General features: G+C 38.0%; 1 protein-coding gene and 1 long non-coding RNA gene across 5 annotated transcripts in view, besides 1 other annotated feature; one reads left to right on the forward strand and one right to left on the reverse strand.

Annotated features, from left to right (window-relative positions):
• Nucleotides 1-27740, forward strand: part of CLVS1 (clavesin 1) — a 536782-nt gene that overhangs the window by 384570 nt on the left and 124472 nt on the right. For all 4 annotated transcript variants that reach the window (XM_024447079.2, XM_017013141.2, XM_017013142.3 and 1 more), the window contains one exon: nucleotides 27188-27362. In XM_024447079.2, coding sequence (XP_024302847.1) covers nucleotides 27188-27362 — 175 coding nt within the window. The remainder of the gene's footprint in view (nucleotides 1-27187; nucleotides 27363-27740) is intronic.
• The window catches only part of LOC105375870 (uncharacterized), a 29091-nt gene continuing 2341 nt past the window's right edge, over nucleotides 991-27740 (reverse strand). Inside the window, exons 2-3 of the long non-coding RNA XR_928951.3 lie at nucleotides 3518-3583; nucleotides 991-1764 (exon numbers count right to left, since the gene is read on the reverse strand). This is a non-coding gene — a long non-coding RNA (uncharacterized LOC105375870). The remainder of the gene's footprint in view (nucleotides 1765-3517; nucleotides 3584-27740) is intronic.
• Nucleotides 17544-18060: an enhancer, noted in NCBI's record as "NANOG hESC enhancer chr8:62279520-62280036 (GRCh37/hg19 assembly coordinates)". NCBI's record gives its function as "activates a minimal SCP1, AML or CMV promoter by ChIP-STARR-seq in naive H9 embryonic stem cells {active_cell/tissue: H9 hESC(naive)}" and the evidence as "EXISTENCE:reporter gene assay evidence [ECO:0000049][PMID:30033119]".

The following is a 27740-nucleotide window of genomic DNA, read 5'->3' on the forward strand; positions in this document are numbered from 1 at the left end:
ATGGGTGAGAGGAGGAGGAGGGAAAAGAGGGTCAAGGACACCTCTCAGATTTCTGCATGAAAACCTGTGCTTGGGGTGGTGCCATCCCCTGAGGTGGGGAACAGTGAGAGGACCAGGTTTGGGTGGGCAGATGGTACAGGAAACATACCAGGAAGGTTTTTTTGTTTTTGTTTTTTAGGTTTTATTTTTTCATTTTTCTGTTTGATCTTCCATCTTAATGTTCAGAACCTTCTTAATTTTCTGTTTGGAATCAGTAAGAAACAATCTGAATTACTTTGCAATTCTAATGTTCTTGATCCCAAACTCCCATACTCCCCTGGTTTGGAAACGCCAAAAGTCAGAAATAGTAATCCAGAATAAGGCTTCATAAATGGAAGTTTCACACAGAAGGGATTGCTGGTTGGTAAAGGATTGCCTCCTGGCTCTCTAGCACTCCCCAAACACAGTGTAAGTGTGCACTACCAGCTTGTGTCTTTTAAGTTCCATGCAAATAACCCCTGAACTGCATCACCGAGGCACATGCTGTCTTTGCCATGTAAGAATTTTTTTCAGGAAGGTTTAATTTTATCTCTTGGATAGACTAATACATGTATGGAGTATTAAATTAACTAAAAAGCATTAAACCATAGCATTAATATATGTTGGTCAAAGGATATAGAATTTCAGTTAGATAAAAGGGATAAGTCCAAGATATCTGTTATACAACACATTGTACATGCTTGTTAGATGTTTATACATGTTTATTTTATTAGCTCAATTTAACCATTACATAATATATAGGTATTTCAAAATATCATGTCCTATACCAAATAATAAATACCTATTTATCCTTCTCCTGAGGGTTTTTGACCACTGAAGAGAATCAAGTATCCCATTTGGGTCATTGCTGACTTCTCTTTCCAGAGGTCTAGTTAGCGTCTCTCACCCAATACATTTTCTTCAATTCTCTCTATCTCCCAAGTGAGCTATTTCTCTTACAACTCTTTGTATTTGGCATTATTTGATTTGTATCAGAACATACTTTTCTCCTTATCATAAACTACTGTGATGATGCATTGCAAGAGGGAACCATTTCAATAAACCATTAGGAGATTTTTGGATCCTGAATGGCAGTTTTACCCTGAAGATAAGGTAATGCTGTAATCTACCATCTTGTTAAATGTACACACACATTCAAACAATTGTCAGACTGCAGGCAGCTTAGAAAATACATCTTCTCTTTTCCACTCTTACACCATTATGTCTTTGTGCATGTGCCCTGAATTTAAAGGTAAAGCGAAAATGAACAGAGCAATTATCATGTAGAGTAGAGGAAATTAAGCTGAGTAAAAGCTTTTAGTTAACTATGTGATTCCCAGTCACCCGCACGGCAGCAGCAACAGAGAGCTCAGGGGCATCTAGTCATTTCCTGTGATGGCTTCTGCACCTCTCTCTGGCTGTGGAGTTGAATAGTGATTATATACCGCCACTCTGGTAGACATGGTGTGCTGAAGGCAGTTCCTAGGTAAGCCTGGGGTGTATGGAAGGTTGGTGAGGAATTGATACATGTCCTCATTTGTCCCAGGAAGATGTGGTTGTAACCGTGCTTGGTCAGAAACTTGTTTTCCCTTGCAGATCATTTTATGGGTATCCTCTGAATCTGGTCCCTTCTCTCCACTTGCTCAGGTATGGATTTTTTTCTCCAAAAGATCCCACATAGTAGGAGCATCCCAGGATGTTCTAAATAGGACCATATAAATGCTTCAGCAGTTGATTACAAATTCTCTGGAAACAAATAAAATATTAGAAAATCTCAGTAAAGGAATAGAAGTTATAAAAAAGAACCAAGTGGAAATTATGGAACTGAAAAAATTTAACAAAATAAAAATTTTAAAGTGTCATTTTAAACTTGAAATGATAGGTTCAATAATAGAGTGGAGACAAAAATGATAAAGCCACTAGGTTTAAGGACAGATCAATAGAATTTACCCAATATGAACAGAGAGAAAATATACTGGAAAAGTAACTGAATAGAGACTCAGGCTCCTGTGGGACAATGTCATAAGATCCAATATTCATAGGATCAGCATTCCAGAGGGAAAAGAGGGAGTGGAATGAAAGAGTATTTGAATAAGTAATGGCTGAAAACTTCCCAAATTTGGTTAAAAAAAAATACAAACTTACAGATCCCAAAAGTTGAACAAATCCCAAACAGGATAAAACAAAGGAACACACATCATAATCACACACTTATAAACAAAAGACAAAGGAAATATCTAGAAGGCAGTCAGAGAGAAAGAACACATCACATGCAGAGGAACACCAATTCAAGTGACACTGAATTTTCATCTGAAACCATGGAAGCAGAAGGAGGAGGTACAACATTTTTCAATAGCTTAAAGAAAATAGCTGTCAACTGTGACTTCTATATCTGGTGAGACTATTCTTCAGAAATAAAGAAGAAATAAAGATATTCTTAGATAAGAAAAAACTAAAAGAATTTGTTCCTAGCAGACCTACCCTTAAAAGCCGGCAAAGAAATTTCTTTAAATGGAAAGTAAAAGATAGAAGAAAGAATCTTGAAATATCAGGAAGAAGGAACAAGAGGAAGAGTAGAAACATGTGCATATAATAAACTATCTTTTATCTCATGAGTTTTATAAATCATATTTGATGATTGAAACACAAATTCTAACACCATCTGCTATTCAAGACAGTGATATTTAAAAGAGGGAAAAGTACAGGGACTTTAATGGTAATGAAGCTTCTATACTTCATTGGAAAAGGTAAAATGTTGATACTGTACCTATTATGTCTCATATGTATACTGTAATGCCTAGAGCAATCACTATGAATATCATGTAAAGAGGTATACCCAAAAACACTCTAAATAAGTCAAGACAGAATCCTAAGATGTTTAAGTAACTCAAAGGAAAGGAAGAAAACAGAAACATCTCAGAAGAAAACAGAAACAGAGGAATGATCATCAGAGGGAATAAATAGAAAAGAATTAATAAAATGGTGGACTTAAGCCATAACATAAAAATAATTATGCCAAATGCCAGTAGTCTAAGAGACAGAGATTAGCAGTGGATTAAGAAATCAAGCTTCAACAATATTTTACAAGAAAATCAGTTGAAATTCATTAACGTAGACTGAAAGTAAAAAGATATATCATGCAAAGATGGATTTAAAAAAATAGACATGGCTGTATTCGGATAAGGTAGTCTTCAGAGGAAAGGAAACTACCATAGATAATGAAGGAAATTGCATAATGATAAATGGATCAATCCATTAAGAAGACATAAATAAGTCAGCCCTCCATGGGTTCTGCATCCACAGATTCAACAAATGGTGGATCAAAAACATTTGAACAAAAAAGCAATAAAAAATAACAATACAACAATAAAAAATAATACAAATAAAAACACCAACACGGCATAACATTCACATAGCATTTACATAGCATTAAGTATTATAAGTAATCTAGAAATGATTTAAAGTATATAAGAAAGTAGGTTATATGTAAATACTATACCATTTTGTATACGAGACTTGAGCAGCCACAGATTCTGATATCCTCAGGAATCCTGGAACCAATTTCCTGTGGATATTGAGAGATGACTGTTTCTTAAATGTGTGCATACATAAAAAGTCTCACAATACATACAGCAAAAACTGATAGTGCTTAAAAGAGGAGTAGATAAAACTGCAATTATAGTTGGGGACCTCAACCTCCCCACCCTCAGCAACTGATAGAACTTAGACAGAAGATTTGAACAACGCAATCAACCAACAGGATCTAATTGACATTTATAGAACACATCACACAACAACAGCAAGGTACACATTTTTTAAAGTGCCTGTGGAACATTCATCAAGATAGACTGTACCTGAAGTCATAAAGTAAACCTTAACAAATTAAAATAAATGAAATCATACTAAGTGTTTTGTCTGACCATAATGGAATCAAACTATTAATCAATAACAGAAAGAAAACACAAAAATCTCAGAAGACATGGAAATTAAACATACACTTCTAAATAATCTATAGATCAAAGAAGAAGCCTCAAAGGAAAATTTACTTCTAAATGATTTATAGATCAAAAAAGAAGCCTCAAAGGAAAATTTAAAAATTATGTCCAACTAAATGAAAATGAAAACGCAGCATATCCACATATATGAGATGCAGATAAGACAGAGCTGAATGGGAAACAATATGAGATGTTGATATTAGGAATAAGGAAAGGTCTCAAGTCAAAAATCTGTTCTACTTCAAGAAACTAAGGAAGAATGAAACAAAATAAACCCAAAGCAAGCAGAATAAAAAAAAAAATAAAGAAAGAACAAAAATCCATGAAAGTGAAATTAGGAAAACAAATAGAAAATCCATGCAAAAAGTTGGCCCTTTAAAAAAAAATCAACAAAATTGATAAACCTCTAGCTAGACTGACAATAATAAAAAGAGAGAAAACACAAATTAGCAATATTGGAAATGAAGTAGGTGATATCACTACAGATCCTACAGCCATGAAAAGGAAAATGAAGGAATATTATGAACAACTTTATCCTCATAAAGTCAATAACTTAGAAAATATGAAACAATTCCTTAAAAACTACACAACGTGAAAACTCAATCAAGGTGAAATAGATAATCTGACTAGCCCTATAGCCTTCAAATTCGTTGAATTCATAAATTTAAAACTCTTGAAAAAGACACTTCTGGGCCCACGTGCTTCCACTGGAGAATTTTACAAATATTTTAAGAAGAATTAACAACAAGCTTGCATGTTCTCTTCTAGCTCACTTGATGAAGCCTATTCGACATCACTAGTTATTAGGGAAACGCCAATCAAGACCACAATGAGATACACGCCTACCAGAATACCTAAAATAAAAATTATAATAGCAGAAACACCAACTGTTGTTGAGGATATAAGGAAACTGGATTACTCATCAAGATTGCCAGTGAAAATGTAAAATAGTGTCATCTTTCTGGAAAGCAATTTGGTAGTTTCTTTAAAAAACTGAAAAAAAACTGTACATGGGATTACCATACAGACCAGAAATTACACTCTCGGGCATTTATCTCAGATAAATAAAAACCTATATTCACAAAAAAGCCTATACACAAATGTTCACAGCACCTTTGTTTGTAATAGCCAAAACCCAAAATCAGCACAGATGTCTAGCAACAGGTAAAATGGCTAAAAAAACTGGTACATCCATACCATTGATTACTACTCAACAATAAAAGGAATGAACTATTTATATATGTAACAACTTTGATGAATCTTCATGTAATTATGTTGACTAAAAATGCTAATCCCTAAACATTATATAACATTCAATTTCTATAACATTTTCGAAATGACAAAATTTTAGAAATGAAGAACAGATCAGTGATTACAGGTTTTAGGGAATGGGAGGAGAGAGTTATAAAAGGGCAACATGTAGGGTCTTTGTTGGGATGGATCTGTTTAGTATCTTGACTGGCTTGGTGAATACACCAATGTACGTCAGATAAAATTGTATAGAACTAAATAAACATATACACATGCACACATACAAACAAATTATTACAACTGCATCTGAATCTACAGTTACCTCAATTTAAAAAGTATTCTGTTCTTCCCTGTTTCTCCTAACTATGAAGTTGGTTCCACTCCCACCTACGCCCAAAACAAATTTATCTTGTCACCACTTTCTGCTGAGCTATGATATAGCACTTGACTTTATCAGCTAGAGCTCTTGCAGCAACATCAATTGGTCAGAATTGGTACTGAATTCAACTCTATTGGCACATCATCTAGAAAACAATCTTCCAGAAATATTTAGCCTGAATCCAACCAAGCTTGTGTACCTCACTCCAGTTTAAGAGGAAGAAGTTTCTTTTTTTTTTTACACCATAAATATATAAAATTTTTATTTGTCAATTCAAAATCAGTTGGAAGAAACAAACGAGAAAAACAGAAGCACACAGCGTGGTGGTTTGTTTTTTACTATGGTCTTTTTCTTTTTTTTATTATTATTATACTTAAAGTTTTAGGGTACATGTGCACAATGTGCAGGTTAGTTACATATGTATACATGTGCCATGCTGGTGTGCTGCACCCATTAACTCGTCATTTAGCATTAGGTATATCTCCTAAAGCTATCTCTCCCCTCTTCCCCCACCCCACAACAGTCCCCAGAGCCTGATGTTCCCTTTCCTGTGTCCATGTGTTCTCATTGTTCAATTCCCACCTATGAGTGAGAATATGAGGTGTTTGCTTCTTGTTCTTGTGATAGTTTACTGAGAATGATGATTTCCAATTTCATCCATGTCCCTACAAAGGACATGAAGTCATCATTTTTTATGGCTGCATAGTATTCCATGGTGTATATGTGCCACATTTTCTTAATCCAGTCTATCATTGTTGGACATTTGGGTTGGTTCCAAGTTTTTGCTATTGTGAATAGTGCCGCAATAAACATACGTGTGCATGTGTTTTTATAGCAGCATGATTTATAGACCTTTGGGTGTATACCCAGTAATGGGATGGCTGAGTCAAATGGTATTTCTACTTCTAGATCCCTGAGGAATCGCCACACTGACTTCCACAATGATTGAACTAGTTTACAGTCCCACCAACAGTGTAAAAGTGTTCCTATTTCTCCACATCCTCTCCAGCACCTGTTGTTTCCTGACTTTTTAACGATTGCCATTCTAACTGGTGTGAGATGGTATCTCATTGTGATTTTGATTTGCATTTCTCTGATGGCCAGTGATGATGAGCATTTTTTCATGTGTTTTTTGGCTGCATAAATGTCTTCTTTTGAGAAGTGTCTGTTCATATCCTTCACCCAGTTTTTGATGGGGTTGTTTGTTTTTTTCTTGTAAATTTGTTTGAGTTCGTTGTAGATTCTTGATATTAGCCCTTTGTCAGATGAGTAGGTTGTGAAAATTTTCTCCCATTTTGTAGGTTGCCTGTTCACTCTGATGGTAGTTTCTTTTGCTATGCAGAAGCTCTTTTGTTTAATTAGATCCCATTTGTCAATTTTGGCTTTTGTTGCCATTGCTTTTGGTGTTTTAGACATGAAGTCCTTGCTCATGCCTATGTCCTGAATGGTAATGCCTAGGTTTTCTTCTAGGGTTTTTATGGTTTTAGGTCTAACGTTTAAGTCTTTAATCCATCTTGAATTAATTTTTGTATAAGGTGTAAGGAAGGGATCCAGTTTCAGCTTTCTACATATGGTTAGCCAGTTTTCCCAGCACCATTTATTAAATAGGGAATCCTTTCCCCATTGTTTGTTTTTCTCAGGTTTGTCAAAAGTCAGATAGTTGTAGATGTGCGGCATTATTTCTGAGGGCTCTGTTCTGTTCCATTGATCTATATCTCTGTTTTGGTACCAGTACCATGCTGTTTTGTTACTGTAGCCTTGTAATATAGTTTGAAGTCAGGTAGCGTGATGCCTCCAGCTTTGTTCTTTTGGCTTGGGATTGACTTGGCAATGCGGGCTCTTTTTTGGTTCCATATGAACTTTAAAGTAGTTTTTTCCAATTCTGTGAAGAAAGTCATTGGTAGCTTGATGGGGATGGCCTTGAATCTACAAATTACCTTGGGCAGTATGGCCATTTTCATGATATTGATTCTTCCTACCTATGAGCATGGAATGTTCTTCCATTTGTTTGTGTCCTCTTTTATTTCCTTGAGCAGTGGTTTGTAGTTCTCCTTGAAGAGATCCTTCACATCCCTTGTAAGTTGGATTCCTAGGTATTTTATTCTCTTTGAAGCAATTGTGAATGGGAGTTCACTCATGAAGTTAAATGGCATCAAGAGAAAACAATAGGCTAAGCCAAAATTTAAGACATTCTACAGGGCACATGGCATGGAAATCATTTTTTTAAAGTCAACGATCTATGGAACTTTCTTTCAGCTTACTATTAACTGTACCTATATTGATGCATACATATGCATAGAGGATAGATAAAACAACCATGCAAAATGATGACAATTGTTGAATCAAATGGTAAGTATATCACTGCAGTATTTTTTCAACTTTTCTGTTTGCCAGGACGTTTTTTTTTCCTTCTTTTTCTTTCCTTTTTCTTTTCTTTTTTTTTTTTTTTTTTTTTTTTTTTTGAGATGGAGTTTTGCTCTTGTTGCCCAAGCTGGAGAGCAATGGTGCGATCTCGGCTCACTGCAACCTTCCCCTCCTAGGTTCAAGAGATTCTCATGCCTCAGCCTCCCAAGTAGCTGGGATTACAGGTGCCTGCCACCATGTCTGGCTAATTTTTTGTATTTTTAGTAGAGACAGGGTTTCAGCATGTTGGCCAAGCTGGTCTTCAACTCTGTTGGCCAAGCTGGTCTTCAACTCTGTTGGCCAAGCTGGTCTTCAACTGCTGACCTCAGGTGATCCACCATCCCTGGCTTCCCAAAGTGCTGGGATTACTGGTGTGAGCCACCAAGCCTGGCCACCGGGACATTTTCTTAATAAAAAGTTGCTGGAAACAGATTCTGCTGTCTGACCGGGATTGATGATCTTTCAGATCCCTTCCCACTGTGATATTCAGACAGGAAGTTCAAATCTTGACTCTGATATTTATTAGCTGTGTCCTCTCAGTCTCAGTTTTTCTTATGTATAAAGATGAAGGATTTGGAACAGCCCTAAAATCCTGTTTCTTAAAGTCACCAGAGAATTGATTCACAATCTTTCAGTAACTTACTGACACGATGAAGTGCCACCACATTTTTCTTCCAATCTGGATCTTTCAAACAGTAATTTAAAGACTTCTTCACCTTCTGGACCCAATAAAGTAGGAAAGAAGATAAAGTACTGACTTCTTTAAATGTTTGTAAAATGTTATTTGTTTGACCCTCACCTACCTCCTTTCCTATGTTAGTCATTTCCAGCAAGTAAAATCAACATATAATTATATTGTACACTGTGTGCAAACACACACACTGTGTGCAAGCCTTGTTAGTTTTCCCATTATGCATATTTAGTCATATGTGACTTTCCTCTGTATCTTTCCAAAGTCTATCTGCTCAGGCTTAGTCGATTTTATTCTATCTCTCTGAACTGCCCAATCAGTATGTCTTATCCAAGGGTAAGTCCCACATTTGATCAGAATTCCAGGCATAGCATCATCATTCTTTTCCAAGGTACAGTGGTGAACATGATTATAAAGATTTGGGCCAACACATATGCTCACACTAAATTAAAACAAACAAACAAACAAACAAAAAACAGCTTTGGGAACAGAGGATTGAGAACCCATCTTCACTATTGAGGTCTGAGTATGCCCAGAAGAGAGGCCACCCAAACAGAGTATTAGAGAAAGAGCAATAGAATGTTAGAATATAACTCAAGTGATCAAGACACTATGAGGCTGGGTGTTGGATACATCAGGCACATAGATTTAAGTTGTCCACCCAAATGTATAGAAGGCCTTATGAAACCTTTTCCTTTTGTACTTGTTCTTATTTAAGTATATTTAAATGTATATTTTTTCTGTTTTTCTTTTAAGTTATGGAAGCATACGCAGCTATCTCAGCATATTTTCATGCTGCCTTGAAAATTTGTATTATTATAATTTAAAGTTTAATCCATTCTCAGTTATATTCTTTCTTATAGTCATATTTCTTTTATAGATTTCTGTTTCCTGAAATTATCTTGTTGATACAAAAGAAATGGTTCTAAATTTTGCCTTGAGAAATGTTTTTGTTTGCTGATTACGGTTTATTATGACTGCTATTTACAAATTAAGCCCTCATCATTCACAGAACTAAGTTACCAACCACACTAGCTCAAAGAGTTAGGTTCCTGTAACTGGATTATGTCCACCACGTATGTTTAAGTTTTCAGACCTTTTTAAGTTGGTATCTGCTAAAGAATTGGAGGAGAGAGAAATTGCTCATTTCTAAAATGTGAATATAAAGATGTGTCTCTGTTTAATGATGCTAGAAAAGACTTTTTTTTTTTCTTTTTTTGAGACAGAGTCTTGCTGCGACCCCCAGGCTGGAGTGCAATGGTGCGACCTTGGCTCACTGAAACCTCTGCTTCACAGGTTCAAGTGATTCTCCTGCCTCAGCCTCCTGAGAAGCTGGGGTGATAGGCAAGTGCCATCATGCCCGGCTAATTTTTGTATTTTTAGTAGAGATGGGGTTTCACCATGTTGGCCAGGCTGGTCTTGAACTCCTGGCCTTGGGTGATCCACCTGCCTCGGCCTCCCAAAGTCCTGGGATTACAGGTGTGAGCCACCATGCCTGGCCAGAAAAGACTTAAAATCAATTTAGGTGTAAGAGCTCTGAACCTAGTATAAATATGACTGCATTTTACTAATAGTCAACTGGGATCTTGAAGAAGTTATATAATTTGTTTAAGTGTATATAGTTAACCTATGGGAAAACCTGGTTTCCTTTTCCCCAATTAGATGTTTTTTTGCAGATGAGTAGCAAACTGGTGGGCCTGTGTCCCCTTGGCCTGCTTCATTCACTCACATGTCCTGCCTGGCGTTCCTAGGCATTTGAGTTGCCAGCTGCTGAATCCTGTATCTGGAGCTCTTTGGGATTACCTAGCACCTGCTATCGGCATGGCCCTGCACTGAACAGGGATAACACACATCCCAGCCTCTGAAGCAACTTGCAACTCTACAGAGCCATTGTAGGCAGGCCCGCAGGGAGTTTGGGAAAGGGCAGACTTGAGTGGAAGTGGGTAGTACTCTGTGCATTGAGATCTGGAGGAAAAAACACTTAAGAGACCACTTAGGATCTTCAGTTAGAAGAACACACCTTTCCCACTGCATTAACAGGCCTTCCTGGTCTTCCCAGAGACCAGGATTTGCCGTGAGTGACTGGCAAGAAAATGCTTTCTAATCACCTTTAAAAAACCCAAAAAAAACTAAAGCAGGGTTTTATTTGGGACCTAGATGATTCTAGAAGTCCCCTTTCTCCATTTCCAACCCAGAAATCCTCTGACTATGGAAAGCATCCCATAGTCAGTGATAAAAATCTGGTTGAACAAACATTTTGTATGCATGCATTTAAAACAGAATTGCCAATCAATCAATCAATCAATCAAAAACACAAATATTACCTTCTTCTAAGAGAGGCCAGCCCAAGTAAAATTTAGCTGGAACAAACTGTCTTTTGGCTTGTAAATGAATAAGCTCTGTGCTCTTCTGAGATGGCTTTGTCCAACTTACTGGAGCTACATAAATTCAGAAGAAGTTTCTGTTTTGTTAGATTTCAAGATTAGTCTGAAGTTTTTGTTTTTGTTTTTAAAGTATGATGTTTTCTTCTTGACAACTTTGCATTAGGCATAAGAAAGAATATGTGAGATGCCATTTATAGCACCGATGTGGAATAATAAACACAAGCTCTTTCACTGATTCTTGAAGAATTTGTGACGACTTGCTTAAATAATAAGCAATAAATGCTATAGTTGATTTTCTCTAAGAGATGTTGTATTAGTCCATCCTTGTACTTCTATAAAGAAATATCTGAGACTAGATAATTTATTTAAAAAAAAGGTTGAATTGGTTCATAGTTCTGCAGGCTGTACAGGAAATAGTGGCTGCTGCTTCTCCAGAGGCCTCAGGAAACTTACAATCATGGTGGAAGGTGAAAGGAAAGCAGGCACATCTTACATGGCAGGGGCAGAAGGAAGAGAGAAAAGGGGGAGGGGGTGCTACACACTTTTAAACAAGCAGATCTCACTATAAGTCACTTACTCTTTATCACCAGGACACCACCAAGGGGAAGGTGCTAACCCATTAATGAGAACTCTGCCCCCATGATACAATCACCTCCCACCAGGCCCCACCTCCAACAATTGGGATTACAATTCAACATGAGATTTGGTGGGGACACAGATCCAAATCATATCAGATGTCTTCAAGCTTTCAATGATGACTAATGTGTCAGGGAAGAATGCACAGATTAGTAAAAAATGAATGTGTCCTGTAAGCATGGAATAATAACTGAAAGAGTCTGCCCTACTCAATAGTATCCCAGCTTTCATTTTGTCCACATAATCCCAAGATGCTAGGTTGTCTCCTTTGTAAATTAAATACCTCAAAGGACATTCTCCAAGCCTTTTAGAGACTTACTTTTCCCTGTCTCATAGTTTGACACAACTGTCTGCCTTGGCTGCAGAGAAAGCTCATTAGGTCAAATGGATGCAATAAGTCTTCCCCATAGCCCATCTCTGGCTGTACAGAGAGAGTTCTTCAGGGTCTTATTTTAGAAGGAAAAACCCAGTCTTGATTGCATTCACCTTATTAGGAGTTCCTTTATCTCATCCACCATGTTTCTATCCCTACTTTCAGGCCAACTATCCCATGTGGAAACAGCTATCCAGATCACTCATGTTTGGAATATATGCATGTGATATATATTCATTTATTAATATTATAAAAGAAATGGTATATACTGGACACCTTAAAATGACAGTAAAGACTTTGCTCAAGTGTGTTGCAATAGGAAGTAAAGGCTACTGTAATAGGGTACAGAGACTGAACACAACTCCAAATACAATAGGAACAAATGAGAATTTGTAGCCACAGGCAGAGTGAGGCTGTTGATGAAAAATTACTAGGAGAAACGTAGTCAGGTGTCAAGGACAGAGTGAGGAAAAAGAGGAACTTGATTAATATCAAGGGTAAGGGGATTCTCAACAAATTGGCTTAGCAGAGTTCTTTGCTAAAACTGGGCTTTGAAGGCTGAGAACACGGGCCAAGCATGAGGCCTACTCAGGAAAAGGGCTCAGAGTTTGGTCAAGATGGGAGTCATTGTCAATACTCTGTGACTTCCTGTGGTAGGAAGGTCTCCCTAAGAATGGGACATTTGGCCAAGACCTGAAAGATGAGAAAGAGTCAGCCCAAAGTGGAGAAGGGAAAGAATGTTCTAGGTAGGGAAGAAGAGGAAAGAATATTCCTCATTTCATACATTGGTCAGTCTCCCCTTACAGTCATTTCTTTCTTTGAATGTTCTGTAAGTCTCACAGACATGTCAAGCACACTGGACCTAGGAGTCGGGAACCTTGTACCCACTGTACACATAACTGTTCATCTGGTTTCACTGAGCCCTTCCAGATCTGAGTTTCATTATATGACAGAAAGAGGTTACTACCATTTGGATGGTATATTATTCTGGGGGTTATATTGCACATTGCAGGATATTTATAATTACTGCCCTCTGCCCAATAAATGCTGGTAGTATTCTCTAAATATTCTGAAAACCAGTAATGAAGTCCCACTTACATTTTCAGAGGTCCCCCAATTGGAAAGGAGGTGAATTTACCTCCAGTTGAAGATCACTATTAATTACAAAGATTCCTGTTAGCTCTCCTTGCCTGATTCTATCTGAATTGCAAATCCATCTGGAAGAACCAGCCTCCATCTTAATTCACTCTCTCCCCAAGCTTTCCTGATACTTCAGCTTGCTGCAGTCAGCAATTACTTACAATATTTATATGTTGCCTCAGGGTTCAAAGAATTATGTAGGTGGGTAAGTAAGACTCCCGATTTCTGAATGTGGGTGAAAGAGACAGCTCTTTTCTCTGGGAAGGTTCTATATGAGCCAGAACTAGGAAAGCGCTCCTTGTAACTTAGTTAATGGAAAAAAGATAGGTAACGGGTCATCAACTTGTAGCAGGCAAGGATTAAAGCAGGAGGTAAAATTTCAGATAGAACTTTCCAGGGGCTGAGCATTCACATTTTTTCCTCTTTTCCCCTTTGGAAATTAAACTGCTGATCTTTCTAAGCAGTCTTCTCAAGGGTTTCTCTATTGAGAACAATCCCTGAGATTTTGTTAAGATAAATATAGGCACTGACATCCTTCTCCAGCAAAATCCTAAATCCTAAAATGTATTTTCTCCTTGTGTGAGAATTTAAAATATGTAAATTGTGTCTATATACATATTTAACGCATTTTCCAAATTCTGTTTGCTATTCAGAGTGTAGGATATTTTGGACCCACTTTGAAGGGAATGTACGCTGATGTTTTACAGTATCTCCTGCAGTGTAGCTACTGTTAAGTGGCAGTGATAAATAATAACCACTGGCTCTGATTGCTTAGAGAATTTCCAAGTGATAATTCGGGATGTAATTAAGGAAAAGAAACCAATGTTTTCTTTCACCACTTTCATAAAATAATTTCCCAGTGAGGCATCAGAGCTTCTGTGGGTAATGTTACCTGGTAGAGCAAAATTAACTCTCCAAACACACAGAACTTTGGATAGGAAAAGTCAACCAGTCCATTGGATTTTGTTGTTATTGTTGCTAAATGAACTATGTTGACCCCATGTTCCTATGTTTGTTCTTTTGTGAACTTATTAAATGCTATCTTTTGTTTGTTTCTGATTCTTAGAATTAGGCTGGAGCCTGTGTTCTGACCAGGGAACAAAAGTAGGTCCAATAGAGCTCTCAGCCCACTGGTTTATGAAGAGAGTCAGGGAGAGGGTGAGGCCACTCTTTAGTCTCTGTGACCTACCTGACTTGGGCTAGGCAGGGGCGCCATGGGTGTGTCTGTGGGCCCTTCTCTAGAAAAATCCTAAGAACTCCCACATCTCTATCCTGACACATCTGGTCCTGCCAATTAACTCTCATATTTACAGTGCTCTAGGCTCCAAATGACTTTGGAAACCTCCAAAGGGGACTTTTCTGCCCAAGTTAATCACATACTCACTTCTAGAAGAAGTGTTGGTAGCATTTGCAGAAAGCTTTTCTCCTCAGGGGAATATATTTAACCTGGTTTTGAAGGATGATCAAGCCACCTATCATTATTGTTACTTGTTAGCCACCACTAGGCATTACAGGAGTTGGTCAAGACCAAGAGTTCTTTCCATCAGCCTTGCCTTATTGGTGCCAAAACTCAGAAATAGTGTAGTCAGTGGTCAGGGTGTTCCTGCACCTCAGAGCTGTGGAAGTCACAGCAGCCTTATATCCTGATAGCTCCAAGAATCTCATAACAATGATGTGTCTTGAGGAAGATAAACTGTTGAAGGATGATACCCACATAGAAGAATACCAGCCTGCAAAACAGCCAACAAGTTGCATTTCTATCAAAACTGCCTTGAATGTATTACCTATAAAGATAAGACTTTTCTTTCAGTTACATAATAATTTCCTACAGCTCATTCCTTTTAATATTTCATGAATTTGATTGCCTGCCTCTGTTTAAGTTTCTTATGATTAAGAAGGATAGAATTTGTAAAATGAGAAAGGATAAACCAACTTTTAAAACTTAAATCAGACTACAGATTCTCTAAGTTCAATCCATTTCTATTAGGTGTGAATTAGCCATATTTTTCAGGGTTCAGATTGCTCATTATAGGCAACTAATTTTAGAGGCTTAAGGCTTCCCTTGGTTGTAAAAGCATGTTATCCTTGTAGAATGTATTGATCTCTTTATTAAATACGGAGGTTTGGAGTTTTCATTGGAGTAGGCAATTTCCTGAGTTAATTAAAATTATGAGATGCTGTATACTTCTAACTCAAGTTACAGGTGTGCTTCCCATGAAAAGCAATACATACAGAGTTGCTTTACTAATTCACTATTTAATTCAAGTTGCCTTGCACACTGTTATCAGAGTTTATGATTTCAGAAAGGTACCTCTTGATTGCAAGAGTGACTGCAGAATATCATTGAGAGGGAAGGAGCTCAGGAGTGTAAAATCATTCAAAGCAATGTAGTACCAAAGGATAGATATTTTTCTTTTAAAAAGCCTCATCATATTATCCAATTTCTTATCCCAAAAGTGATTTTATGGTTATAAGAGTCAGGTTCAGGAGAAAGAATATTCTATTTCAGGTAGTGACTAGCACATTTCCATGAACCCAATGCAAGATCTATAAATGTTGGCCAGGTGCGTTGGCTCACGTCTGTAATCCCAGTACTTTGGGAGGCCGAGGCGGGCGGATCACCTGGGTCAGGAGTTGGAGATCAGCCTGGCCAACATGGTGAAACCCCGTCTCTACCAAAAATATAAAAATTAGCTGGGTGTGGTGGTGGGTGCCTGTAATCCCGGCTACTCGGGAGGCTGAGGCAGGAGAATAGCTTGAACCCTGGGGGCAGAGGTTGCAGTGAGTTGGGATTGCACCACTGCACTCCAGCCTAGGTGACAAGAGTGAAACACCATGTCAAAAAAAAAAAAAATCTATAAATGTCAATTGAGTTTCATTGGAAGTAGGAGTAATGTGACCATCTTACTTAATTCACTCATGTCGGGGAGATTTTGCTGTTTGTGGCTCTGAGTAGGCTGATATGATCCTAGCTCCATGCCTAGTGCTCAAGAAATCTTCATGGAATAATTAAAGAATCATCTCCGAAGTCATATGTTTGTGATTTTAGAAGATGCCAGTTTACAGGGTGTGTGTGTGTGTGTGTGTGCGTGTGTGTGTGTGTGTGTTGTCCATCATGAATTGTGAAATCACTCTATGTCATTAGACAGGAAGGCTGAGACATCTGGTGACCTACTGCCTGCTTTTGGTTTGTGGATGTAGAAAAACCCTGGTGTAAACCTTGACTGAAAATAGAATGGCCAAAACGGAAGTGCTTAAACCAATGCTAATTTAGCTGTATTAAGTGCTTATTTGCATTCTTGAAACTCTTCCTAGTTTTTACTTTTCTGCAGATCCTCAGCCAAGGGATTTACTAGAATAGACAAGCATGAAATTAATTTTTTATATTTGTTTAGTAATAGATGGGAAGATCATAGCTCACTTCCATTGGGATCATTTTTTGTTTTGTTTTTAATTTCTTCTGCTTTCTTCTGCTGCTGCTCTCTATGGGCCCTGGTGCAATCTCTATCCAGAGAGCTACATGAAATAAACCCTTCCCCATTTATATTTTGGGCTGTCTTAAAGTGGTGTTTGAGGACCAGATCTTTCCCAATGGCTAAGAGTCTCATGGTATACAAGCCTTCCTGTTTGTAAGCATCCATCTAGCATTTGTTATTCACTGTTCTTGACTGCATTTTATCACTGACTGCATTCACACTACATTAACCTTATGTGAATGCAGGCATGGCCCTCTCCTAAACCAGAATCAAATCTGTTTCCTTTCCTCCTCTTGGACCCAAGGTGCTCAGTAATACATTGTTCTCTATAAGCATGAGTCATAATAGAAAATACTTAAGGACACACATCAGACGTCAGCAATGAGCATGAGAAACTTTGAAGAGTAAGGAAATTCAACCACTAGTGATCTCAGTGTTGGTCAAGGCAAGTTGGCACCATGCCTACCTTCCTTCTTTCGCTAAGAAACATTTGCTGAGCATCTACTATGTATAGGTACTGGTGATTGCCAGGGATTCAAAGGCAAATGCATCAAACCCCCAGCTTGGTTGGAGCTGATGGTCTAGACTAGCAGTGCAAGCATTCCTTTGTTATAAATAGGACAGGAAATATTCTCTTCTGCAGACGTGGCACCTGCTCATGGTGGTATTTTATCACATTTGGTAGACACTACCAGCCCATATACTTCTGAGTAACCCTTGACAGCCCTGATATCAAGTAATGTTAATATTAATATTGTGTGATACTGTGCTGGGTGCTGATTCCTACTATGTAAGAACTAGTCACAACTACAGCACCTCTGACTCACCTCCTACCTGACTTAGTTCCTTCAGTCCTTCCTCTCTTCACACCCATATCTAATTGGTACCTAAGTCCTGGCTACTATCCTTCATGGTTCCTCCCACATCTCTATTATTTCCATTCAACTCTCACCCAGTGTATTGCATCACTTCCCTTTAATGGAGCTGCTCGACTCCAGTCCCCTGCCTTTGATGCACATAGTTCCTGCTGCCAGCCCAAATCTCCCTGAGGCACAGAAGCCATCATTTCCTTCATCAGCATAACAGTCAGCAGTTCTCCCACCAAGCAGAATGAGATGAATCACAATCACATTTCTGATCTTATTTTTACCTTCCTTTTCATTTGCCCCATTGCACAGGAAAACTTTGCATTCCTTCAATACATGGTGTCTACACGCTAAGCTCTTACTATTGTTTATGTGGCTCCTTCTGCCCTTTCCCTTCTATGTCTAGTGTCCAAACCTCCCCATTTCTCATGACCCAGTGGAAGACTTTCCAAAACTCCCCAATCATAAGTGATCTCTCCTTCTTGTAATTCCCAAGCACTTTGCAACCCCTGTTACTTTCTCCTTCATGTCATATTTACTCAGGTAATAATGAGACTACCATGACCATCAGCACTTTCTGTGCATTACCATGAGCTGCTAAGGCTTTATGTGCACTCTGCACTTCATCATTACCAGTGAGGTGTAGGTGCTGTGATCCTCCTCCTACAGATGAGGGAATGAAACCACACAGAGATTAAGTTACTTGCTAACCTTACATAGGACAGCTGGGATTTAAATCAGACTCTGCCGAACTCTAAATCCTCATTGCCTCCCATGTACATATATTTTACTGTCTCCTACTGATTTCCATCTACTGGCAGGAAAGTAAAATTACTTTTTTCTCTTTGTGTCTTCCACAACGTACAGAATCATTAAATCTTTGTACAAATGCCTCCTGACTCCTTATTGCAGTTGCAGGTACTTCAACAGTTTTAAAAGAAGACATCGAATAGTAAGAAATTGCATTAAATTTTGAAGTGAAGAAATAGATGCATTTGATGCTGATTTCATTCTCTTCAATTCTTGAGAGAATACAGAAGCACCTGGACCAAATGTGATAAAATGTTGGTTTTTATTTATTCAAACCACTGCTTTATTTAAATCAAAGAACTAGAGGGAAGACAACATCTAGGGAAATTAACTGTAAATGGTGAGTTATTGCACATGCACACACACAGTGATACATACTCTATTTCTCCGCAGAAACACAAATGAAAAAATATCCAGGCAGATTGGAATTTAAAAGCTTTAGTTTCAGTGTCATTTTAAGTGGTGGATATGAATGCTTTGCACTCTAGTGTCTATATCCAGAGATGGATAGGCCTGCCAGGAGTGGTCTGGAGAAACACGGGCTCTTATTTCCATGCTGTACTTGAGAGAATATTGTCTTCACTGTGTTTGTCCAATATTCTCTATACTATTTCAAAGTCAGGGCCTTGTTCTTGGACAAGAACATTACCCTTTGTGTTTTGTCCTCAGTAGCATTGGTCAGATAGGGGTGGACTGGGGCAGAGGATGACAGTCCCCAAACTCTCTCCATATATTGTTGCCATACTTGCTAGAGAGACACACATTTGCAATGACTCTAGCTGTTTTTATAAAATAAACACTATTCTTAGTCAAGCATCTGTGAACTGAACTGAACCAAAAATTCAGAAGCAGATGAAATAATGTAGCTGGCTCCCTGTCTAAAACTCCACCTGTGTGTTATCAGATGTTTGAATATAATAGTATTCAATACATTATTTCTAAAAATCTGATGCTGAGGCTTTGAATGCCAAGTATTCTTGAATTACAATTAATAATAAGTTAGACAACTCATTATTCTGGTATTTCAGAGAATTATATTCTTATGCTAACACAATTCCAAAAGTTTCCAGTACTGATTGAAATAAGATAAAATTCAAAGAGATGAAAATTTGCTTGCAGGATTTTTTCTTTCCTTTCCTTTCCTTTTGTTCTTTTCTTCTCCCTCTCCCTCCCTCCCCTCTTCTTTCTCTCCCCGTCTTTCTTCCTTTTCGCTTTTCTCTTCTTCCCTTCCATCCTTCCTTTTTCTTCTTGAGAATATGAGCCTCATCAAGTTATGTGAGATGGAGTTAAATCCAGGCTTCTGTTCTCTTTGTGACCAATTTTGCTGAGAAAAGTGATTGTCTAATTTAAGTTTCCAGCCAAGATTCAGGGTAGTAAATTTAATACAACATTTTGCTAATATTAATTCTACTAGAGCAAAGCCAAACATTTTTCATTAGCACACTTCTTGAATCTCATATTTTCAGAACACAATTTTTTTTCTTTCTCCTTGATTACCTCACTGAGAAATAAGGATTTATTTGCTTAGGAGCATGATGGCACACATTCAGCTAAAACCTGAATTATGTAAGAGTTATTACAAACCATTTAAGAGAGTGTCTCACGTGAATTCCCATTTTAGACAGTTTTTCAAAGACCCACAGGCCTAGAAGAGGAGAAAATAAGCTCACCTGGAAACAAAACAATTAAAATTTGCACACTCCCTATTGTCCTGCTACTATCATCTTCATGAAAACAGTGACTAAGAGGGATATCTCTATAATTCATGTAAATACAAATACTGCCTCCTGTTGGGATAGGAGGCTCCTTCACACGTATTATTTTGGATAGTGCTAGCGATAACCCTACAAGTGTAAGAAACAGGAAATTGTCCATTGCTGAACTTCAGTTTGTATGGATGGTTGCATGTTTGGTGAGTGGCAGATCCACAGTGTTAAGCCCAATCACCTTTCTCAAGTACAGGCCCTTTTGCCAGTTTGCCAAAGGAGGATTTTTCCCCAGTCTAGAGGTCAAAATACATCAGCAGATGTACAGAAGGAGCACATTTGCCTCTCCACCTTGGCTTAGACATCATTATCAGAGGAAAGGCAAAGCACACTCTGAAACTGTAAGAACCACATCATAGTTATTTTAGGAAGTAATTTTGGAAGAAGTTTCAAATGAGATGAAGAGAGGAAGACATGTGGTGGGATGCAATGTTTTGCACCTATAACCAAGACATAGATATTTGGCAAAAATCATCTGCAAAACCACTTTGTGGTTTGTGGTGGACCTTAAGAAATTTCCAAAGTCAAATCATCATATTAAGTGTGATGTCAAGAGGTTTAAAGACAGAACTGGGCAAAGAGTTTTTTTATAAAAAAAATTTTATTTTTTGTTTTTATTTCAATAAAGTTTTGGGGGAACAGGTGGTGTTCGGTTACATGGATAAGTTCTTTAGTAGATTTTGGTGCACCTGTCACCTGAACAGTGTACACTGTACCCAATGTGTACCCTTTTATTTCTCATTCCCCTCCTATCCTTCCCCCCAAGTCTCCAAAGTCCACTGTATCATTCTTTTTTTTTTTTGAGACAGACTCTCATTCTGTCACCCAGGCTGGAGTGCAGTGGCACGATCTCGGCTCACTGCAAGCTCCGCCTCCTGGGTTCATGCCATTCTGCTGCCTTAGCCTCCTGAGTAGCTGGCATTACAGGTGCCCGACGCCACGTCAGGCTAATTTTTTGTATTTTTAGTAGAGATGGGGTTTCACCGTGTTAGCCAAGATGGTCTTGATCTCCTGACCTCGTGATCCGCCCGCCTAGGCCTCCCAAAGTGCTGGGATTCCAGGTGTGAGCCACGCGCCCGGCCACTGTATCATTCTTATACCTTTGCATCCTCATAGCTTAGCTCCCACTTCTAAGTGAGAAGATATGATGTTTGGCTTTCCATTCCCACGTTACTTCACTTAGAATAATGGTCTCCAACTCCATTCAGGTTGCTGTGAATGCCATTATTTCATTCCTTTTTATGTTTGGGTAGTATTCCATGGCATACTACATTTTCTTTATTTACTCGTTGATTGATGGACATTTGGGCTGATTCCATATTTTTGAAATTGCAAATTATCCCACTATAAACATGCATGAGCAAGTGTCTTTTTCTTATAATGACTTCTTTTCCTCTGAGTAGATACTCAGTGGGATTGCTGGATCAAATGGTAGATCTACTTTTATTTCTTTAAGGAATCTTCATGCTGTTTTCCATAGTGGTTGTACTAGTTTACATTCCCACCAGCAGTGTAAAAGCGTTCCCTTTTCACCACATCCATGCCAACAACTATTATTTTTTTGATTATGGCCATTCTTGCAGGAGTAAGTTTAGGTATTGCATTGTGGTTTTGATTTGTCTTTCCCTGATAATTGGTGATGTTGAGCATTTTTTCATATGTTTGTTGGCCCTTTGTATATCTTCTTTTGAGAAGTGTCTATTCACGTCTTTAGCCCACATTTTGATGGAATTATTTGTCTTTTTCTTGCTTATTTGTTGGAGTTCCTTGTAGATTCTGGATATTAGTCCTTTATTAGTTGCATAGTTTGCAAATATTTTCTCCCACTTTGTGGGTTGTCTGTAATAGATGTCTTGCTGCAGCACAAAAAATTAGTACAGGAATATGCCCTGTGATTTCAGAATTGACTAAGAGGCTGCCTCCTATTCCTTCTAAAAAAAAATGTCTCCTTCAACTCCATCATATCTTTACATGGTTATCTGATCACTTATAGCCTTATTTTTCTTATGAGTCTAGCACTGGGATCAAGTTCTGGAATCTCCACTAAAAACTCAAAGCACAAATGGGCCATGTTTTGAAATTTGAATACTTTCTCATTGGTAAGAACTTACTAATTTCCACTATTTTGTATTTCATTTGTATGGTGCTGTTGACTTAGGTTTTAAAGCCTCAGGTGCTTAACTCGTATATACAACAGTAGAACCTAAAAATGAGTCACTATTCATAATCTCTAACTGCTCACAGTATAATGATGAAACCCCTGTAGATAAACATTTACTAAGTCCTAACTTGTATAAAATCCTTTATGGGGAAAAAATTTAAGTTTTCTATTTTCTGCTAATAGAGTTCTCTACATTTCACTGGCAATTTGCAGTTCACATAGTCCTCTCACATACATTATCACATTTGAACTTATAATTAATTCAAAACTAATATCCATAACTGACTGTATAAATGCTATGCAAATTATAGAAAAGGGTGGAAGAAATGTAAATATCCATTTGTCATGTTAGTTCATTTTGATACAAGTGCTAAAATACTCTGATAGAATTGTGATTGCAGGCAATAAAATAAATCAAAAAAAATTTCCCCCTGAGTTTTTGGAGTAAAACCATATATAAATGTAAATGATTTGGTAGAATGAAGAAACTCTAGAAATGTCTTCTCTTCTCATTTCTGCAATTTGCATAAAGTAGGTGAACTGCTTATGACCATTTTGGTTTGCTTAGGATCCTTGTTAGAATATTTATGAAGATTTACTCTGGCAGATTATAAACTCTAGAAGGCATTTATTTTTTAAAAATAAACTTTTTATTTACAACAATGTTAGATTTACACAATTACTGTGAAGACAGTACAGAGACTTCCCCTATGTCCTGCCTTCTAATTTCGTCTATTATTTTCAGCTTATAGTAGTACAGTGTTACTGTTACGACTAATGAACCATTATTAATACGTTATTCATTAATGTCCATACGTTATTTGGATTTTTTTTTTTTTAGTTTTTACTTAATGTTCTTTTTCTGTCCCAGGATCCCACCCAAGATCCTACATTACCTTTAGTCTTTATGTTTCTTTAGGCTCCTCTTGGCTGTGACAGTTTCTCAGACTTTCATTGTTTTTTGATAAACTTGACAATTTTGAGCAGTACCTGTCAGGTATTTTGTAGAATGTCCCTCAATTGGAATTTGTCTAATGTTTTTCTCATGATTACTCTTGGGTTATATTTATTTGGGAGGAAGATCATAGAGGTCAAGTGCCATTTTCATCACCTTAGGAAGAATAAATACAGTCAACATGATGTATCACTGGCTAGGTTGAGCTGGATCACCTGGCTAAGGTAGTGTTTCTCCACTGTACAGTAACTCTTCTTCCTCTTTCTATACTGTACTCTTTGAAGGAAGCCACAATGCTCAGCTCACTTATGGAGTGGGGAGTTATGCTCCATGTTTTTGAGGGTGGAGTATCTACATAAATTATTAAGTCTGATAGCCATTTTAAATTTTAAAAAGCTAGGAGTCCAGAAGTCAAAGGGTGTTATAAAAAGCGAAGAGGAAAACAACGAGGAAATTCATACAAGGAAGCCAAGAACTAAGGAAATCAAGGTAATGACTGCAGCTAAGGTAAGAGGTAGGCTTACACTCCTCCACACTGGCAAAGCTTCATGACTCAAGACACAGTCCGTGCAACTCTTTCCTGCCTGCCCAGTTTCTCTGGAAAAGTAAAGCATTCAAACATTTGGAAACTGTAATGAAGTCCATAAACCTTTTACTTTTCTCCTGGGATCATCCCAGGAACATAACATTTCCTTCACTGCCAGTGCCTGTGCTGCAATAAAGGTTGTGGTCTCCAAAATGCATAGAATGGTTTCCAGGCAGAGCTCAGTATTTTCTCTTGGAGTGGGTAAGTGTGGATATGTGTTGAAAAGATGTGCCAGCTTGTAGTTAAAGGAGTAAAATGAGATAGAGATTAAGTAATTTGCTTAAGATCTTCAAAGTTAATTATTTCTATCTTCACCATTCAACTAAAAGTGCTCTCCCACAACCCCCAAAAGAGTATTTGCTGTGAAATTCAATGGTCCTTTCTCCTTCCTATTCTCCTTGATCTTTTTTCTTCATTTGACTTTGTTAACTACCTTTTGGTGTTGGATAGCTATTGCTATGTAACAAACCATCTCAAAACTCTGTGGCTTAAGAAAGCAATCATTTATTGCTGCTTATGCACCTGTGGGTAGCTGCAGTTTATCTAGGCTGGGTTCAACTAGGTAGCACTACTTCTAATGAAAACCTGCTAGTTGGCTGGGGAGTCACTGGTCTGTGTGTCTTTCACCCTTGTTCACAGTTCAGCATGCTGGCTGTCGCATATTTTTTACTATAGCAACGGTAGAAGGGCAAGAGAACAGTGGTAACATCTGAAGTCTCTTGAGAGCTAGGCTTGGAATTGGCATCCTGTCATGGTGCCAGTGGTTAAAGTTACAATAATGTTTACTGTCAAATCAAGTCACATGAACAAGGGACAAAAAATACACTGTATCCTCAAGGAGGCCATAGCTAGTGTGTGGATACAGGGATAAGTGAAGAATTGGTGTCAGTAACACAGTAATGCAATCTGTCATACCCTTGCTTCTTGAAACATTCTCTTCTTCTTCTTTTTCTTTTTTAACAGAACCTTGATCCTCTCCCCTTTTATTATTTAATTCTTCCTCCTTCAACCTCAGTGCTGTATGTAAGCTTTACCTTAGGCTTAACCTTTCCATCCTGACTTTCTCTGTGTTTATGCTCTTCCTAAGAAAGCTTATCTCGGCTCAGACTCCCTGATGCCCTAATGATCATTTCCGGTTTACCAATTGGGCATTTCCATTTGGAATTGCCTAAATTCATAATCTTTGCTCCCTTGTTCCTCTTAAATCAATGTTTGCTTCCAATACAAAGCTGTATCTCTGAAAAAGACTTGGGTCTTTGGATAATTGTTTTGATGTGAAAGGAAAAACAAAAGCACACAAAGTCCCAATGAAAACCTATTCTACAACAACAGGAATAGGACATCTCTAAAAATTAAAAGGGAATATATCTGAAAGGAAACCATAATGACAAAAAGAGTATTAAGCACCATTTTCTATGAGAAAAGGTTAAAGTTACAATTTTTTTTAATCTAGAGATTATGTAGGGTATCATGACCACCATGCTTAGATAGTTGAAAGTGTGTGGTGTGGGGAGACTTGAGGGTTTTTTCTATATAGCAGAACTACCCCCACTGGGTGGATTTGAAGGAGGAAAATTTTGGCTTAATATAAGGAAATGATTTTTAGTAAGAAGAACTATACAGAAACAGAATGGGCTAATATCTTTATTTTTTATCTGTGTCACTTCTCTCTCCTGAAAAAGTCTTGCTCCCCCTTTTCCCAATTATCCATAAAATTCCTATCCATTCTTCAAGATTATCCCGAGCCTTCATCCCTCCATAAACTCTTCCCTGACTACTCAAATTGTATTGATTCCTTTCATGTTGCTAATCTACCACCCCTCCCCAACTAAAATAAGAGTCCTTTGAAAGTAGAAATAGGACATTCTAATTTATAACTTTAAGCATAGGCATAACACTGAGTTTCTACCAGGCATTTAGTATATTCTTAGTGGCTTGCATTTTTTTTTTTTTTTTTTTATGAGACAGAGGCTGGCTGCAACTCCCAGGCTGGAGTGCAATGGCGCGATCTCAGCTCACTGCAACCTTCACCTCCTGGGTTCAAGCGATTCTCCTGCCTCAGCCTCCCAAGTAGCTGGGATTACAGGTGCCCGCCACCACGCCCAGCTAATTTTTGTATTTTTAGTCGAGACGGGGTTTCACCATGTTGGCCAGGCTGGTCTCAATCTCCTGACATCAGGTGATCTGCCTGCTTCGGCCTCTAAAAGTCCTGGGATTACAGGCTTTAGCCACCGCCTGGCCCTGGCTTACATTTTTATCACAGATTTCCTGATTTCTAATCTGGAGTCATTGGCTTTGAACCAGATTGGAATGCTCAAGATTCTGATTGTTTCACACTGATTTCACAAGAGGACTTGGCTTCTGATTTTAAGGAAAACTTAGGGGGAGTAGCAGATTTTGCCATCACTTGCCATCCAAGCTCATATTTTCCTGCTCACCAAAGAAAAACACTGAATCTAGAGATCCTCTAAGATCTTAGATTTATAGCTCAGATAATTTACTGAGTGAAATAGAGTGAATTTGCCATCACTTCTTCATGTCTGAAAATTATTTAAAACAAAAATCACGTGGCAAATGGGCATATATGATGTGGAGGAATACACACAGAACTGGAGAGCTGTCATTCTAGTTTGTATTCAGGTCTGCCTGTTGTCATAGTTACTGATGTACTCAAAGCGAATTCCCTCCCAAATCACACTCTGTAGACCTTCACTGAAAATAAGTCATACTTCCTGTTTTATTTTTCTCTATCCAAGAGTTGAAGCTAAAAAATAGCATCAATGGCATGAATGTTTCTACATTCTTAGCAGGATTTTTTAAACATAAAGGAAATAAAAGAGCTTTCATCAAAATAAACACCTCTGATTGAGGCCTCACCTCATTTGTTCAGCAATGATTCATTGTACTGGGGAAACAACTATGATTATGGCGCAATCCCTACCCTCAAGGACATCAGAGCTCTGTGAGGGAGAAAGATGGGTAAGGGATGCATTTCAACAAAATGCAATTGGGGCTGTGGAGGAAGCAGAGTATGGAAAGCCACAGGAACACAGAAGAGGGACATCTCATTAAGTTTGGGGTGCAGAGCCAAGGGAGGTGTCCAACCTGCAAGTCTTGAAGCATTATGGCTGTGAAGTTTAGCAAATGTATTTTCAGTCCCTTTGGGTACAGGACGCCAGTGTGACCCTCCAGGCGGGGTTCATGGAGCAGTGGCATGCGGAGGCCAGCACTGTTGCACGCAACATGCTATCACCTGCTCATATTCACACACAGCTCTCCTTTCTGCTCTGGCTGCAGGAACTCCTTCACAGACATCCTTCGTGCCATCCTGCTGTCATTGGAAGTCCTAATCGAAGATCCGGAGCTTCAGATAAATGGCTTCATTTTAATTATAGACTGGAGTAATTTTTCCTTCAAACAAGCCTCCAAACTGACACCTTCAATCCTTAAACTGGCCATTGAAGGGTTGCAGGTATGTTCAATGAATGCGCAATACAAGACCATGTGTGGCAACATACTTTTTAAAAAATTATCGCAACCAAAGTAATATTTATCCTTTGGAGTGGAAAAAGGAAACTTGGATTAAATTCATCTGAGTACTCCATGTTTTTGCCTCAGCCAGAGTTTTAGATGCTTTTTAAAATTAACTTTCATTTTCATTAATAACTCCAAATTACTGTTACCCCAGGCACAAATTATCCTCTGTAGCAATAATGAATAAAGCTCCAAGATGTTCGGCTTAATCCATCAGAGAGTTCACAAAAATTAAAACTAGGAAACATCTGCTTTATGATCATGTCATATACAGGGGTGGCATGGGGCTTTCAGAAGCATTTTTGTGCCCCAGAAA

The sequence above is a fragment of the Homo sapiens genome, chromosome 8 (genome assembly GCF_000001405.40).
Source record: "Homo sapiens chromosome 8, GRCh38.p14 Primary Assembly".
Lineage (NCBI taxonomy): Eukaryota > Metazoa > Chordata > Mammalia > Primates > Hominidae > Homo > Homo sapiens.